The sequence below is a fragment of the Homo sapiens genome, chromosome X (assembly GCF_000001405.40).
Source record: "Homo sapiens chromosome X, GRCh38.p14 Primary Assembly".
NCBI classification, from domain to species: Eukaryota; Metazoa; Chordata; class Mammalia; order Primates; family Hominidae; genus Homo; species Homo sapiens.
This window is the reverse complement of record NC_000023.11, coordinates 37570821-37588743: the sequence shown is the minus strand read 5'-3', so window position 1 is coordinate 37588743 and position 17923 is coordinate 37570821. Positions and strand designations below refer to the sequence as shown.

The following is a 17923-nucleotide window of genomic DNA, read 5'->3' as shown; positions in this document are numbered from 1 at the left end:
ATACTCACACTTTAACAGGCCAAAGTCATTCATTTCTTTGGTTCATTGAATGGTTAAAGCTATTCAGAAAAGAAAATCTGATCTTACACAAAACACTCCTTTATTCAGCTTGCAAAAAGAAAGATCAAATACTTCTTGAAAATTCAGTTTGATCAAGTGGCTAGCACCCCAAGAATAATGGGCCTGTTATCTTGGTAGGTTTCCCTAGTAACTAAAACCATAAAGAAAATAATTAGGAAGAGTTTAGTGATGTGTGCATGTGTATCTTATATACACATGCATACATATATCTGTGTGCGTGTGTGTGTATAATGAAAACAACTTGTTTTTTTATGAGACAAACCAGTCAAGACATGGTACTTGACTGGTGGTCAGAGATGAACTTGTAAAGTTGAATCATGAAGAGAAAGACTTGGACACATCACGAACTGTTGAACCAGTTTACCTAGAGACCATTACCATGTGGGGACACTACAGGACCGCCCTGTCACTTGGAGGAAATCCATTGTATATTGTGTTGCAGCCAATCACATGACAAACATCATTTACTAAATTAACCAGCAAAAGTGTAATTAGTGAAGAAGTTAGTAAGAAATTAATATAATCTATCATTTTCACATTCAAAGGCCAATACATTTAATAAAATTCCATTAAAACAATCTCCTTACAGAGCACTGAGTTTAGTTATTGGCAAAATAAATAATTAAGTTCATTTAAAACAAGTTTTACTGTGTTTATTTTTCCATTTACTCTGTAACAAAAAACTACGAACTATGTTCTCTTTAAATAATTATAATACAGATGTGGTTCCAAGATGGCCAAATAGGAACAGCTCCAGTCTACAGCTCCCAGCGTGAGAGATGCAGAAGATGGGTGATTTCTGCATTTCCAACTAAGGTACTGGGTCCATTTCACTGGGGCTTGTCAGAAAGTGGGTGCAGGACAGAGGGTGCAGTGCACCAAGTGTGAGCCAAAGCAGGGTGAGGCATCCCCTCACCCGGGAAGCACAAAGGGTCATGGAATTCCCTTTCCTAGCCAAGCAAAGCTGTGACAGATGGCACCTGGAAAACCGGGTCACTCCCACCCTAATACTGCACTTTTCCAAGGGTCTTAGCAAACGGCACACCAGGAGATTATATCCCATGCCTGGCTTGGAGGGCCCCACGCCCACGGAGCCTCGATCCTTGCTAGCACAGCAGTCTGAGATCGAACTGCACGGCAGCAGCAAGGCTGGGGGAGGGGCGCCCGCCATTGCTAAGGCTTGAGGAGGTAAACAAAGTGGCCAGGAAGCTCAAACTGGGTGGAGCCCACCGCAGCTCAAGGAGGCCTGCCTGCCTCTGTAGACTCCACCACTGGGGGCAGGGCATAGCCGAACAAAAGGCAGCAGAAACCCCTGCAGACTTAAATGTCCCTGTCTGACAGCTTTGAAGAGAGTAGTGGTTCTCCCAGCATGGAATTTGAAATCTGAGAACGGACAGACTGCCTCCTCAAGTGGGTCCCTGACCCCTGAGTAGGCTAACTGGGAGGCACCCCCTAGTAGGGGTAGACTGACACCTCACACAGCCGGGTACCCCTCTGAGATGAAACCTCCAGAGGAACAATCAGGCAGCAACATTTGCTGTTCAGCAATATTCGCTGTTCTGCAGCCTCTGCTGCTGATACCCAGGCAAATAGCGTCTGGAGTGGACCTCCAGCAAACTCCAACAGACATGAAGCTGAGGGTCCTGACTGTTAGAAGGAAAACTAACAAACTGAAAGTACATCCACACCAAAACCCCATCTGTACATCACCATCATCAAAGACCAAAGGTAGATAAAACCACAGAGATGGGGAAAAACCAGAGCAGAAAACCTGAAAATTCTAAAAATCGAGCGCCTCTCCTCCTCCAAAGGAATGCAGCTCCTCACCAGCAACGGAATAAAGCTGGACAGAGAATGACTTTGATGAGTTGAGAGAAGAAGGCTTCAGACGATCAAACTTCTCCGAGCTAAAGGGGGAAGTTTGAACCCATCGCAAAGAAGTTTAAAACCTTGAAAGAAGATTAGATGAATGGCTAACTAGAACAACTAGTGTAGAGAGGTCCTTAAATGACCTGATGGAGCTGAAAACCATGGCACGAGAACTACGTGACGAATGCACAAGCTTCAGTAGCCAATTTGATCAACGGGAAGAAAGGGTATCAGTGATGGAAGATGAAATGAATGCAATAAAGCGAGAAGAGAAGTTTAGAGAAAAAAGAATAAAAAGAAACGAACAAAGCCTCCAAGAAATATGGGACTATGTGAAAAGACCAAATGTACGTCTGATTAGTGTACCTGAAAGTGATGGGGAGAATGGAACCAAGCTGGAAAACACTCTGCAGGATATTATCCAGGAGAACTTCCCCAACCTAGCAAGGCAGGCCAACATTCAAATTCAGGAAATGCAGAGAACGTCACAAAGATACTCCTCAAGAACAGCAACTCCAAGACACATAACGGTCAGATTCACCAAAGTTGAAATGAAGGAAAAAACGTTAAGGGTAGCCAGAGAAAAAGGTCGGGTTACCCACAAAGGGAAGCCCATCAAACTCACAGTGGATCTCTCGGCAGAAACTCTACAAGCCAGAAGAGAGTGGGGGCCAATATTCAACATTCTTAAAGAAAAGAATTTTCAACCGAGAATTTCCTATCCAGCCAAACTAAGCTTCATAAGTGAAGGAGAAATAAAATCCTTTACAGACAAGCAAATGCTGAGAGATTTTGTCACCACCAGGCCTGCCCTAAAAGAGCTCCTGAAGGAAGCACTCAACATGGAAAGGAACAACCGGTACCAGCCACTGTAAAAACATGCCAAATTGTAAAGACCATCAAGGCTAGGAAGAAACTGCATCAACTAATGAGCAAAATAAACAGCTAACATCATAATGACAGGATCAAATTCACACATAACAATATTAACCTTAAATGTAAATGGGCTAAATGCTCCAATTCAAAGACACAGACCGGCAAATTGGATACAGAGTCAAGACCCATCACTGTGCTGTATTCAGGAAACCCATCTCACATGCAGAGACACACATAGGCTCAAAATAAAGGGATGGAGGGAGATCTACCAAGCAAATGGAAAACAAAAAAAGGCAGGGGTTGCATTCCTAGTCTCTGATAAAACAGACTTTAAACCAACGAAGATCAAAAGAGACAAAGAAAGGCATTACATAATAGTAAAGGGATCAATTCAACAAGAAGAGCTAACTATCCTAAATGTATATGCACCCAATACAGGAGCACCCAGATTCATAAAGCAAGTCCTTAGAGACCTAGAAAGACACTTAGACTCCCACACAATAATAATGGGAGAATTTAACACCCCACTGTCAACATTAGACAGATCAATGAGACAGAAAGTTAACAAGGATACCCAGGAATTGAACTCAGCTCTGCACCAAGCAGACCTAATAGACATCTACAGAACTCTCCACCCCAAATCAACAGAATAGACATTCTTTTCAGCACCATACCACACCTATGCCAAAATTGACCACATAGTTGGAAGTAAAGCACTCCTCAGCAAATGTAAAAGAACAGAAATTATAACAAACTGTCTCTCAGACCACAGTGCAATCAAACTAGAACTCAGGATTAAGAAACTCACTCAAAACCACTCAACCACATGGAAACTGAACAATCTGCTCCTGAATGACTACTGGGTACATAACGAAATGAGGGAGAAATAAAGATGTTCTCTGAAACCAATGAGAACAAAGACACAACATACCAGAATCTCTGGGACACATTTAAAGCAGTGTGTAGAGGGAAATTTATAGGACTAAATGCCCACAAGAGAAAGCAGGAAAGATCTAAAATTGACACCCTAACATCACAATTAAAAGAACTAGAGAAGCAAGAGGAAACACACTCAAAAACTAGCAGAAGGCAAGAAATAACTAAGATCAGAGCAGAACTGAAGGAGATAGAGAAACAAAAAACCCTTCAAAAAATTAATGAATCCAGGAGCTGAAAAGATCAACAAAATTGATAGACCGCTAGCAAGACTAATAGAAGAATCAGATAGATACAATAAAAAATGATAAAGGGGATATCACCACCGATCCCACAGAAATACAAACTACCATCAGAGAATACTATAAACACCTCTACGCAAATAAACTTGAAAACCTAGAAGAAATGGATAAATTCCTCGACACATACACCCTCCCAACAATAAACCAGGAAGAAGTTGAATCTCTGAATAGACCAATAACAGGCTCTGAAATTGAGGCAATAATTAATAGCTTACCAACAAAAAAAAGTCCAGGACCAGATGGATTCACAGCCGAATTCTACCAGAGGTACAAGGAGGAGCTGGTACCATTCCTTCTGAAACTATTCCAATCAATAGAAAAAGAGGGAATCCTCCCTAACTCATTTTATGAGGCGAGCATCATCCTGACACCAAAGCCTGGCAAAAACAAAACAAGAAAAGAGAATTTTAGACCAATATCCCTGATGAACATCGAGGCAAAAATCCTCAAAAAAATGCTGGCAAACCGAATCCAGCAGCACATCAAAAAGCTTATCCACCATGATCAAGTGGGCTTCATCCCTGGGATGCAAGGCTGGTTCAACATATGCAAATCAATAAACGTAATCCAGCATATAAACAGAACCAAAGACAAAAACCACACGATTATCTCAACAGATGCAGAAAAGACCTTTGACAAAATTAAACAGCCCTTCATGTTAAAAACTCTCAGTAAATTAGGTATTGATGGGACGTATCTCAAAATAATAAGAGCTATCTATGACAAACACACAGCCAATATCATACTGAATGGGCAAAAACTGGAAGCATTCCCTTTGAAAACTGGCACAAGACAGGGATGCCCTCTCTCACCACACCTATTCAACACAGTATTGGAAGTTCTGGCCAGGGCAATCAGGCAGGAGAAAGAAATAAAAGGTATTCAATTAGGAAAAGAGGAAGTCAAATTGTCCCTGCTTGCAGATGACATGATTGTATATCTAGAAAACCCCATTGTCTCAGCCCAAAATCTCTTTAAGCTGATAAGCAACTTGAGCAAAGTCTCAGGATACAAAATCAATGTGCAAAAATCAGAAGCATTCTTCTACACCAATGATAGACAAACAGAGAGCCAAATCATGAGTGAACTCCCATTCACAATTGCTTCAAAGAGAATAAAATACCTAGGAGTCCAACTTACAAGGGATGTGAAGGACCTCTTCAAGGAGAACTACAAACCACTGCTCAATGAAATAAAAGAGGATACAAAGAAATGGAAGAACATTCCATGCTCATGGATAGGAAGAATCAATATCGTGAAAATGGCTATACTGCCCAAGGTAATTTATAGATTCAATGCCATCCCCATCAAGCTACCAATGACTTTCTTCACAGAACTGGAAAAAACTACTTTAAAGTTCATATGGAATCAAAAAAGAGCCCACATTGCCAAGTCAATCCTAAGCCAAAAGGACAAAGCTGGAGGCATCACGCTACCTGACTTCAAACTATACTACAAGGCTACAGTAACCAAAACAGCATGGTACTGGTACCAAAACAGAGATATCGATCAATGGAACAGAACAGAGCCCTCAGAAATAATACCAGACATCTACAACCATCTGATCTTTGACAAACCTGACAAAAACAAGAAATGGGGAAAGGATTCCCTATTTAACAAATAGTGCTGGGAAAACTGGCTAGCCATATGTAGAAAGGTGAAACTGGATCCCTTCCTTACACCTTATACAAAAATTAATTCAAGATGGATTAAAGACTTAAATGTTAGACCTAAAACCATAAAAACCCTAGAAGAAAACCTAGGTAATACCATTCAGGACATAGGCATGGGCAAGGACTTCATGTCTAAAACACCAAAAGCAATGGCAACAAAAGTCAAAATTGACAAATGGGATCTAATTAAACTGAAGAGCTTCTGCACAGCAAAAGAAACTACCATCAGAGTGAACAGGCAACCTACAGAATAAGAGAAAATTTTTGCAATCTACTCATCTGACAAAGGGCTAATATCCAGAATCTACAAGAACTCAACCAAATTTACTCAAACAAATTTACAAGAACTCAAACAAATTTACAAGAAAAAAACAAACAACCCCATCAACAAGTGGGTGAAGGATATGAACAGACACTTCTCAAAAGAAGACATTTATGCAGCCAAAAGACACATGAAAAAATGCTCATCATCACTGGCCATCAGAGGAATGCAAATCAAAACTATGATGAGACACCCCCTCACACCAGTTAGAATGACGATCATTAAAAAGTCAGGAAACAACAGGTGCTGGAGAGCATGTGGGGAAACAGGAACACTTTTACACTGTTGGTGGGACTGTAAACAAGTTCAACCATTGTGGAAGACAGTGTGGCGATTCCTCAGGGATCTAGAACTAGAAACACCATTTGATCCAGCCATCCCATTACCGGGTATACACCCAGAGGATTGTAAGTCATGCTACTATAAAGACACATGCACACGTATGTTTATTGCCGCACTATTCACAATAGCAAAGACTTGGAACCAACCCAAATGTCCATCAATGATAGACTGGATTAAGAAAATGTGGCACATATACACCATGGAATACTATGCAGCCATAAAAAAAGGATGAGTTCATTTCCTTTGTAGGGACATGGATGAAGCTGGAAACCATCATTCTCAGCAAACTATCGCAAGGACAGAAAACCAAACACCGTATGTTCTCACTCATAGGTGGGAACTGAACAATGAGAACACTTGGACACAGGAAGGGGAACATCACACACCAGGGCCTGTTGTGGGATGTGGGGACGGGGGAGGGATAGCATTAGGAGATATACCTAATATAAATGACGAGTTAATGGGTGCAGCACACCAACATGGCACGTATATACATATGTAACAAACCTGCACAGTGTGCACATGTACCCTAGAACTTAAAGTATAATAAAAAAATTATAATACAAATAATAAGTTCGGGTTTTCGTGGAATGTATATTAACAGATGAAAAGACATAAATAGACTGTATCTAAAGCTTTCTAAATTATTTTGAGTAGGTCTGTTAAATCATTGTGATTAGAAAATAAAAAGGAAGATGTCTGATCATTTTAAGTTTAAATTGATTTAGAGTTGGAGGAGAAGCACTACTTTACGTCAAACAGGTAAAATCAGTGGAATGACTCTAAAATAGGCTTGGTATCATGATTATCAGGCTCATGCTTTCTGTTTGGGAATGATGTAATAAGGTGTCTCTTGAATTACCATGAAATAATTTAAAATTGCTGGGATGTGATTTGTTTGGGCCTTTAAAGGAATTTGAAAAACTTGCTGTATACAGTGAAAAATTACATCTATTAGGAAAAAGAAATCCATGCATTTGCTCATTCATTCAATAGATGTCAACATATCCCTTAAACCTACAAGGAGATGCAGCAGGAAGTGATTCTTTCCTTCAGTATAACCCACAAACCAGAGAGCTGGTATTCTTGCACCTGTGGAAGAAGTCATCCTCAGTACAAGAAAAAATGATGAAAATCATGAAGTTTGCAGGAGCAGTTACATTTGTTGACAGGCAACCCCATAAAATTGGGGAAAAAAATTGTAATTCAGAGTGTTGTGCTCAAGTTTGCTCCATAAACCAGCAAGAGCGGCATCACCTGAAGCTCAGTAGAGATGCAGAATCATGAGCCACACTCCAGACTCACTGAGCTAAAAGCTGATTTTTAACAAGATCCCTGGGGTTTGTATGCACATTAAAATATGAGGATCACCAATTGAAATCACAGATTTGGCAACCAGCCTGGGGAAGATGGAACCCCATCTCTGCCACTGACTAGCTGTGTGATCTGGAACAAGTTTCTCAACCTCTCTGTTCCTCAGTTTCCCTACTGGATATGATGGAGATAATAATGTTGCCCATGTTATAAAGTTGTTGGTAGTATTATGTGACATATATGTAGAACCTCAAAAAGTCAAACTCATAGAAGGTGAGAGTAGAATGGTAATTGCCAGAAGCTGGAGGTGGGTGGGGGGAAATGGGGAGGGAAAGGGGAGAAGTTGGTAAAAGGGTACAAAGTTTCAGTTACACAGGAGGAATAAGTTATGATGATCTTCTGCACAGCAAGGTGACTATAGTTAATAATAATGTATTCTATACTTCAAAGTTGCTAAAAGTGGATTTTAAATGTTCTCACCACAAAGAAATGATAAGTATGCCAGGTGATGGATATGTTAATTAGCCTGATTTGCTCATTCCACAATGTACACATGTATCAAAACATTACATTATACTCCATAAATATATATAATGATTGTGAATTAAAGATAAAAAATTTTAACAAACAAAATTACACTTAGGTACATTTTGAAAAGTGACATAATACATGAAAAAAACTTACAACAGTGTGTGGAAATAAGTGATCAGTCATCGTTAGTCCTTATTACATCACTGCATTTTATCATTCACTGGGTTCTGGGTCATGCATAACAAAGGGTCTAAGCCATAGCCCATAGAAGTGCCTGCTTCCTGGTAGATCTGTAATCAGGCAATTAGGAATTGAACCCAGCCTACAAAAATCCAGCTTGCCCAACCCTGCTGCCATTTCAAGCCAAACTTCAGGCTTTACTTACACAGTATGAAACACACACCTGCCTTAAAAATGGGAACCGCTCAAATCCAAAGACTGAATGAAATCCTACACATGCATTTTGTTTGGTAAAAGTTGAAAGAAACAATAAAGGGACTCAGTTTCTACCCTGGAAACCTCCATCCTAATTTTATACTCGTCAGTTTAGCATATATTAAAAACTCTGATGAAACCCAGTGAGAACACAGGCACTCCCAAATGCTGATGGAGACAATAGAAATTGGTAGAACATTTTTGGAGGGCAATTTGATAATCCTCTATCAAATAAAAAATATTGGTAAACTTTGACCCAGCAATTGTGTTTTAAAAATTTACCCTACATAGATACTTGCAAAAGTAGGCAAAAATACATATATGAAAAGATATATACATATACACACATATATATTACATGTATACATTATATATGTATATATGCATTTTACAGCAGTCCTCTTTTATCCAAGGTTTTGCTTTCTGTGGTTTCAGTTACCAGCAGACATCCGGGGTCCAAAAATACTACCAGGAAAATTCCAGAAATAAACAATTCATAAGTTTTAAATTTCATGCCATTTTGAGTAGTATGATAAAATTTGGGGACATCATTCTCCTTCCCACCTGGGGCATGAATCATCCCTTTTTCCAGCATATCTACTCTGTAAACCACCTGCCCCATGGTCACTTAGTAAGTGTCTCAGGTATCAGATCAGAAAAGTAGTATATATAGCGTTTAGTACTATCCGTGGTTCCAGGCATCCACTGGCGGTCTTGGAACATATCCCTGGCAGATACGGTGGGACTACTGTATATGTATATGCATGTATATTATTTATGGCACTATTTGTGATAGCAAAAAAAGGAGAAAAACTGGAATCAACCCAAATGTCCATCAATAAGGGTTATAGTATAACCATTAAATGGAACCAGTATAAAGAATGTTACATGTTACATCTCTCTATACAATATGCAAAGATGTCCAATGTACATTAAGCAAGAAAGCAAGCTGTGTAATATATGTATAATATGATAATTTGTATAAGTGGATAAAATACAGGTATTTTATGGAATAGACTGTTCTAAAAAAAGAAAAAACATGTTAACTTTTAAAATAATTTTTTTTTTTTTTTTTTTTTTTTAGAGATGGAGTCTCACTCTGCCGCCCAGGCTGGAGTGTAGTGGTGCAATCTCGGCTCACCGCAACCTCCGCCTCCCGGGTTCAAGCGATTCTCCTACCTCAGCCTCCTGAGTAGCTAGGATTACAGGCACCTACCACCATGCCCAGCTAATTTTTGTATTTTTAGTCGAGACAGGGTTTCACTATGTTGTCCAGGCTGGTCTCGAACTCCTGATCTCATGTGATCTGCCCGCCTCGGCCTCCCAAAGTGCTGGGATTACAGGCATGAGCCACCGTGCCTGGCCTAAAACAAATTTTTAATAAATAAAGACTCATTTTGTTTTATATCTTTGATGAGAGAAATAATTTTTAAGAAAAGGTAGGAAAAACACAGTTGCTGCCATAAAATATATTCCCCAAACTTTGCTAGTTTAAATCTTAATTAATAGTTAATATCTTAGCTTTTATTTAATTGGCAACTAGCTGACAGCAAAAACAAGATACCTTACAGGTGTCATGACACATGGAGGTGACCTGGAAAAGGGAAAAGAAACACCAAAGAGATGAAAAGCGAATGGATAAAGGAGGTCACAAGACAGACCTTGCCAAGGGACGCCAAATGGCAGATGCTTTGGTAACCAACCAGCAACCATTTCCTTCTCCCTTTTTTCGTGTCGGTACCTGTCAATGATCAAGGTTAAAAATAAAAACACTAGCCTTCCCAGCCTCCCTGAAACTAGAACTGGCTAATGACCAAGTGCTGGGCAATGAGTCAGAGGGAAATTCTTCCAGGATAGAATGTTCTACATGACTTTAGAAAAAGATGCAGGGGGAAAAAAAGCCTCAGACCTTCCCTCACCACTTCAGTTAGGGGAACACTATGTTTGCAATGACAGCAGCCATCTTACAACATTGAAAGGTGAAACAGCTCAAACACTGAGAATAGCAGAGAAAACGCCTGGAAAGAGCTTGGATTTGGATAACTCTCCTGAGTTGCTGAAACAATCCTGGAGTGGCCTAGTTTTCCACTCCTTGCTAAGTGAGGTAATAAATGTTCTCATTATTTAGATGACTTTTTATTGGGCATTTTGTTATTTACAGCTAAAAGCATTGCCCCTTATACAGCTGCCAACCACCTGCCTTAGAAATGAGCCAAAGACCCAATTAACAACTTTGCAATAATTTGTTGTTGTTGTTTTCAAATCACAGCAGGAAGATAGATACGTCATATTAAGTATCATTTTCTATCTGATATTCAGAATTACCTTAGGTTTTCTGTTAGTAGTAGCGAAAAAGGCTACCATTGATTCCATTTAGCAGCTACTATGTGCCAAGCACTGTACTAGGTACTTTATCTAGGACTGGTCATCACAGCAACTTCCAAACCAGTCTCCTTTGGCTGGGGAAATAAAATCACATCTACATGTTTCCTAGCTTACTTAAACAAATTAGCATTTCGTTACAAATGTAAACTACAAACCACTAGTTGTACTTGTAACTTTGTCACCTACAGAAATCACAGATGCATACCACACTGTAGCTGTGGAAGGTATCTCAAAATATCATTGACTCTCATCACTGTTTCAAAAGTATCATCATCCTTTAGCCTGCTGTAAAATCTTATTTAATGTGTTGATAAAGGAGCACATACGCTACTGCTCACACATTTTAAAAATGTTTTGGTAACATGGTTGCAATATAATTGACTTCCTTTGTAATTCTGTGTGTTTTATTTTATGCATTTAAAAATATTATTCTAAGACGAGGTCCTGTAGGTTTCACCAGACTGACAAGGAGTCCTTGGCACAAAAGGGGTTTAGACCCCCCATAACCAGTCCCCCTTGTTATCATTCTTAATATTGTCAATCCACTCTTAATACAGAAAACCAGGGCGATCTTTTTAAAAGGTAAGTCAGATCAAGATATTTCCTCCTTTAAACACGAAACAAATGCAGACTCCTAACTTTGACTAACTTGGGCCTCCAGGATCTGATTTTACCCTGCTCATGTCTCCTTCCATGGTTTCAAACTCCTCTATCCCCTGCTCTCTCTCTGCTCCAGCCATGCTAGCCTCCTTCTATTTCTTTGAAATGTCCAAGTCATTTCCTACCTTAGGGGCTCTTGCCCTCTGCCTGGAATGCCTGTTCTTAGAGCAGCCACTTGGTTCCCATGCTCTAGTGATAAGCCAGGACGCTGCCTCCACAGAGAAGCTTTCCTACCAAACAGCAGCCCTCCCCTTTGCCACCTGTCCTCAGTTAGTTCCTGATTACATCCCTAAGAGCACTTATCTAAAAAGACTGATGTTATTTTTTTCTTCACCAACAGACTTTTATTTTTGGTTCACTACTGAACCCAAGCATCTAGTAAGTTGCCTCACACCATGTAGAAACCTGACATTTACTGAATGAATGAATGAAAACCAGAACAAGTCAACGAAGAAGCTCTTATTAATCAATTTACAGGTGAGGAAATTAAGCCTCAACGATGTTAAAATATTTTTCCAAGATCACTCAGTGGCAGAATTATTATTTTAACTGAGATCCTAGGTCTCCCCAGAATCCCTCTGCCGTTGTCTGCTACATTTCCACCAATCAGTGGAAAGCCGAATGGGCCCAATATAAGTTTTTATGGCATGATTTCTTGAGACTTCAATGCCCCATTGCTCAAGGATATCTGCCTAAGAAACCCTTGGAACTATTCCAGGAAGGCCAAGTTAAGTGAAAATACATGCCTGGAGAGAGGGATTCTCTGTCTCTTGCCACATACACATACATCTTTTTCTTATATCTGAACCTTATAAACATAAATACAAACAACAAAATCAAATAAAAAGAAAAGAACCTAGAAAAGGGTAAACTAAGGAAGAAACAAATTAGATAAACCCAGGGGAAATGTCCACACATAAATATAGATCTGCTAAGGTACTGTACGCTAGCTTATATGGACCACAATTCTAGCCATACACTCCCTAGTAGCCAACACAAAGTGAGAAATAGAATCAGTTACATGACATATTTTGACGATTTTAAAAATTCAATCAATTGCCAGGAGTCACACAACTATTACTGTCTCTACAATCTGAGAGCAATTCCTCTTGTGGGTCTTTAGAGTGAAAGGTAGAATATAGTAATCAGCATTCTAAACTATAGACCTTTTAAATAAACATATCAAGCTTCATAGAATGGCGTCTCATAGTATGCCTTAATAGAGGTGGCAGGTATAATGCCAAAACCTATGCAGCACAGTATTGCCTTGCTATTCAAAGCATGCTCTACCGCAACATCAGGATCACCCAGGAACTTGCAGCTCTACAAGATCTGCAGGTGATTCCTAAGCACATTAAAGTTTAAGAAGCACTGCTTTATTGGTTGAGCTTAAGCCATGAAAAATAATTGGAAGAAACTATAATTCATTCATTCATTCATTTAACAAATATTTACTGAAACTTTGGCAGTAGGAAAGGATTTCTTTAAACATGACACCAAAACTACCACCGTAAAGGAAAATATTGATAAATGGGACACCACTAAAATTGAGTGATATTTGCAAACACACACAAAGCTGGGCATCTAAAAATGTGTCAGGCAGTCTTGGCAATGAACATCAATGAAACCAAAAATGTCTACCCTTATGGAGCTTACATTCTAATCAGCGAAGACATAAATAAACAATTTAAGTAAAACAAATCACGAAAGGGGGATAAGTTGAGGGTGGGGTTGCAATTTTAAATAGGGTAGTCAGGAAAAGCCTCATTGAGGAAGTAAAGACCTATACAAGGCCAGGCACAGTGGCTCATGACTGTCATCCCAGGACTTTAGGAGACTGAGGCGGGCAGATCACTTGAGCCCAGGAGTTCCAGAACAGCATAGGCAACGTGGTGAAACTCTGTCTCTACAAAAAGTACAAAAAATTAGCTGGGTGTGGTGGCACATGCCTGTGGTGTCACCTACTTGGGAGGCTGAGGTAGGAGGATCGCCTGAGCCCAGGAGGTCGAGGCTACAGTGAGCCATGGTTGCACCACTGCACTCCAGCCTGGGTGACAGAGTGAGACTCTGTCTCAAAAAAAAATTATATATATATATATATACATACACACACACACACACACACACACCTATACAAGGTCAGAGATCTAGCTATAAATATCTAGAGGGAGTGTTCCAAGTAGAAAGAACTGTAAGAACAAACAGCCTGAGACAGGAAAGTAACTAAAACAGGAAGATGGCCAGTGTGGTTGAAGAAGAATGAGCAAGGAGTAGAGTAGGAGTGTAGGAGGCTAGATCATGTGGGGCCTTCTCGGCTATTTTTAAGAATCATAACTTTGTGAGATGACAAGCCACTGGAGAAAAAGTAATAGGGAGCCACTGCAGTATGTTGAGCAGGGAAATAACATGATGAAAAATGTCTTTTGAAATATTTGTTTCTTAGAGGTAGATGGAACGGCTTGAGTGGGAGATTCTAGCTCAAAGTATATTGCACTAATCCCAATATATGGTGATTCATTCATTCAACTATTTATTAGGTGGCAAAGATGTGCCCAGTAATGTGGGGAGGATCTAAATTAGAGCGATAACTGAGGGAATTGCCAGAGGAATGTGAATATAAATGACATCGGAGGGGAAGAAACCCAGGACATACTGAGAGATTATTTATAGAGAAATGACACAAATTCGCAATTCAATCTAATCAAGGTCTATGGATCACCTACTGAGGACAAAGTCCTGTGCTGGCTAGGATTTGCGGGGAGGGGATGGGGTATAAAACTTCTACTTTCCCCTCAAAGGGCTTCCAGCCTGGCATGCTTAGCCCCTGCCCTACACCTTTCAAGCCAGAAAGTCTTGAATTGACACAGCTGCAGCTGGCACTGGAACTAACTGGTTTGCTCAGGCTCAGGTTAAGACCTGTTTTTGTTGGTGGTGGTGGTGGGTTTTTTTTTTTTTTTTTTTTTGCTATCCTTGAAGCTTGTTCCATCTCCTGGGAGCAGGGGCCAAAGCACCTCAACTCGATTAGTAAAAAAAAAAAAAGACCTGGTTTGGCAGGAGGGCAGAAGAGAGGTCTTAATAGATGTCTTGTGTGGATCAGTGTTGCAGAATGGCCTGAACCACCAGTTTTTGGGCAGAGTCCTTCTGGTCTGCTTCCACCTGTGTGATCTAGTGGTCACACACTCTTCCCATTCCATTCTGGAAAAAAGGCCTCAAGGCATGGAAAGGGGAAGAGGCAAGATTAAGGAAAACAATTGGAAAAAAAAATTTGAAAATTGCCTGCTGCCAGACTACAAGGTGAGGGGAGCAGATGCAAATGCAATGCAAATGATATGTAAATATCTCTGTGGCCTTCTAAAAGGTTTTCTACAACTGGAAGGGCATTTGAAAAACTGCTGGCAGTTAACAGTGACTCAGAAGCAGAGCAAACTATTTCAAGACAACTTTGTGACATAAACCTTTGCTGCCCAGCTAACACAGTGCACATTCTTTAGTAATCTTTTTTCTCACTTGAATCAACCTCACCTGCTATTAAAAAAAAACCCTGTCTGCCTCTGTAGAGGTGATCTAAGTTAATTACTCTTTTAAAACACTCTATATACCTTTAATTTTTCTTCAAACGCCTTTCTCACCTAAATAAAGCCAAGTTAAATGTGTCACTTCCTCCCTAGAACAGTAGTTGGCTCCAGGGGATTATGAATGAAAGTGCCTCTCTCTCCGTTCTAGTCACTATGATCCTTCAGAGTTTTGTTCTTTTTCCTACTCCACAGGAACTGGCATATTCTCTTCTAATAACCACATGCTGATTTCAAAGTGAGTCCAGGAAAAAATATGTATGTGAAAACCAATTCACTTTTAGGAGCCACTGTAAAGTTATTCATCAAGAAAAGCTGCCCTGTCAAGAAAGCTGTGGTCTTGCCCATCCTAAGCAAATATTTTTAAGTGAAATAATGCACATTCAACCACAATGGGGTACATTTCCGGGTACGTTTCCGTCTACATTTATGTATTTTTAAAGGGGACACTCCTATCAGATATGCATTTAATAAGAGCCATGGGTTGAACTGAATAGTAAGCAAAACAGTAAACACATCAGACCCACAGCTGAGCAGTTATTCTTGGTTACAGACCCAGGGCTCCAGAAGCAACTTACCTCCACATCGGCCCCGAAAAGTTCCATTACTTTCTAGCACTCTAACATTCGAGGATGCCTCAGCTTTTGACAGCAGAGTCAAAGGAAAGGAAATCCCTTCCATTTCTGAGGTTTTCATCTTACTTGAAAGGGCCACACTGTCATCCCCCAGAAAGCTAACAGGCATCTGGAGTGATGCCACGTAAAAACACGAACAAAGCGCAGAGACGCCGAATCTCAACAAATGAGAGACTGAAAACGACAGGAAAGAAGAGGGACAAAAGCAGGAGATAGACCTCAAGGGACTGAAGAAATGCTAGCACCACACCAAGAGTAACAAAGACTTGGAGAGCAACTCGGGACAGTGCTGCCCGAGCCACGGAGTCCGGGGAAAGGAGGCCGGGCAGGCGGCGAGCGCCCTCCCGCGGCCCGGGCTACCTCTTACCTCCTGGGCGAGTTTCTGCTTGAGCACCAGCGCGGCACACAGGTAACCCGCGCGGCCCACGAACAGCTCGTCGGAGCCGCACTCCAGGAAGGAGACCGGCGCGCAGACGGCACACAGAGCCCGGAACTTGCCCAGCGGCTGCACGTAGTCGGACCGGCCCAGGGCGTGGTATACGAGCGTGGCCACGGCGTACACGCCCGCGCCCCCGAGCAGGAAGGCGGCGCGGGTGTCGGCGTCCGGTTCGCCCCACTCCTCAGCGCGGGCGCACGCGTCGATGAGGCGCTTAGCCGAGCGCAGGTAGCGTTCCCGGGCCGTGGCGAAAAGCGGGCTCTGCGAGACGTGGTAGAGCATATACGCCACTCCGGCCACGCCGCCATAAAGCCCCCCCTGGCAGGCGCTAGCCCCCGCCGTCGCCCCTCGGGCCTCCGCGCCGCCCCCGAGTGGGGGAAGCTCCTGGAGGATGCGCTCGATGGTGGCGGTGACCAAGGGCGCCACCGCCTCCTCACACTGGCCCGCCAGCAGGCTGCCCTGGTAGTCATCGAAGCGATTGGCGAAGCAGCGCTTGGTGTCCATGCTGTTGCCCGTGCCCCCTAGTGCGGAGCTGAGGACCGCTTGAAGTCGTGCCCTGCAGCCCCGCACACCACCTCCGGCTCTCTGAGGCACTCGGATGCCGGTGTATGCGGCGGGGAAGGAGCGAGAAGGATGAGACGGGAGGTGACAAGAGGAGGCGGGCAAGGAGCGGATGGCCAAGTGGGGCGCCGGGCTGCCGCGAGGCTCCCGAGTGGCCCGGGCGATCGCGGGGGATGCGTGTCCTGCGCCCCCCCTCAGAGGCCGCGCCCTCGCTGAACCCGCCCCCTCCTGCGCCGCCGCAGCTTGGCTGCCTCTTCAAGGGGCCGAGGTGATCTCTGGCAGGACCCACGCGGGGCCCGCGCCACTCCTCCCGCTCCGCCCCCGACTCCTCCCCTACTGGCAGAAGGCCGAGGACGTGCGGGACACTGATCTGGAACGCTGGGACTCAGCATACACACACCTGGCGGTAGAGGTGATGGTCTCCAGTCCCTTGTATACTCAAAGTGTGGTCCTTGGGTTAGAAGCATCAGCATCACCCGGGGGCATGTTAAAAACGCAGCATCTCAGGCTTCACTCCAGACCTATTGACTCCAAATCTGAATATTCAGCAAGATTGCCAGGTGATTCGCATGCACATTAAAGTTTGAGGCGCCACTGAACTAGGCTAGAGTAGCAAGACAAAACTGGGCGCCTTCTTTGAAGTTTGTATTTCATCTTGGTCGCTTCGGAGTTCTCATTATGAATGTTTCAATCCCAAAGGCTGGGGCATTTGAGCACATCATGTTTAATGCATTAAAACGGTGAAATACCCCATACAGGAACTTTTTTCCCAGCTTTGATTTTTGTATTGTTTTCTTCGAGTATACAGGAGTAAAAAGTCAAAGAACCACACCAGGTTAAGGCAAGGAAGGGGCACGCCCCTCCTGCCATGCGTGCATAGTAAAAGCTCAATACATATCTTGAGGTCATTAACTAGTTAATATTAGGATAAACGCTCTGTGAGAATTTAATTAGGCTTTTTATCTCCCCCTTCCCTCCCTTCTTTTCCCATGT

General features: G+C 42.1%; 1 protein-coding gene across 3 annotated transcripts in view; it reads right to left on the bottom strand.

The window, feature by feature from the left end:
• Nucleotides 1-17083, bottom strand: part of LANCL3 (LanC like family member 3) — a 112803-nt gene extending 95720 nt beyond the window's left edge. For 2 of the 3 annotated variants that reach the window (NM_198511.3, NM_001170331.2), the window contains exon 1: nt 16301-17083. In NM_198511.3, coding sequence (NP_940913.1) covers nt 16301-16873 — 573 coding nt within the window. In that variant the 5' untranslated portion in view covers nt 16874-17083. Of the gene's footprint in view, nt 1-15876; nt 16240-16300 lie in introns of those variants that run through there. The other variant, XM_011543904.3, reaches the window with a different exon arrangement.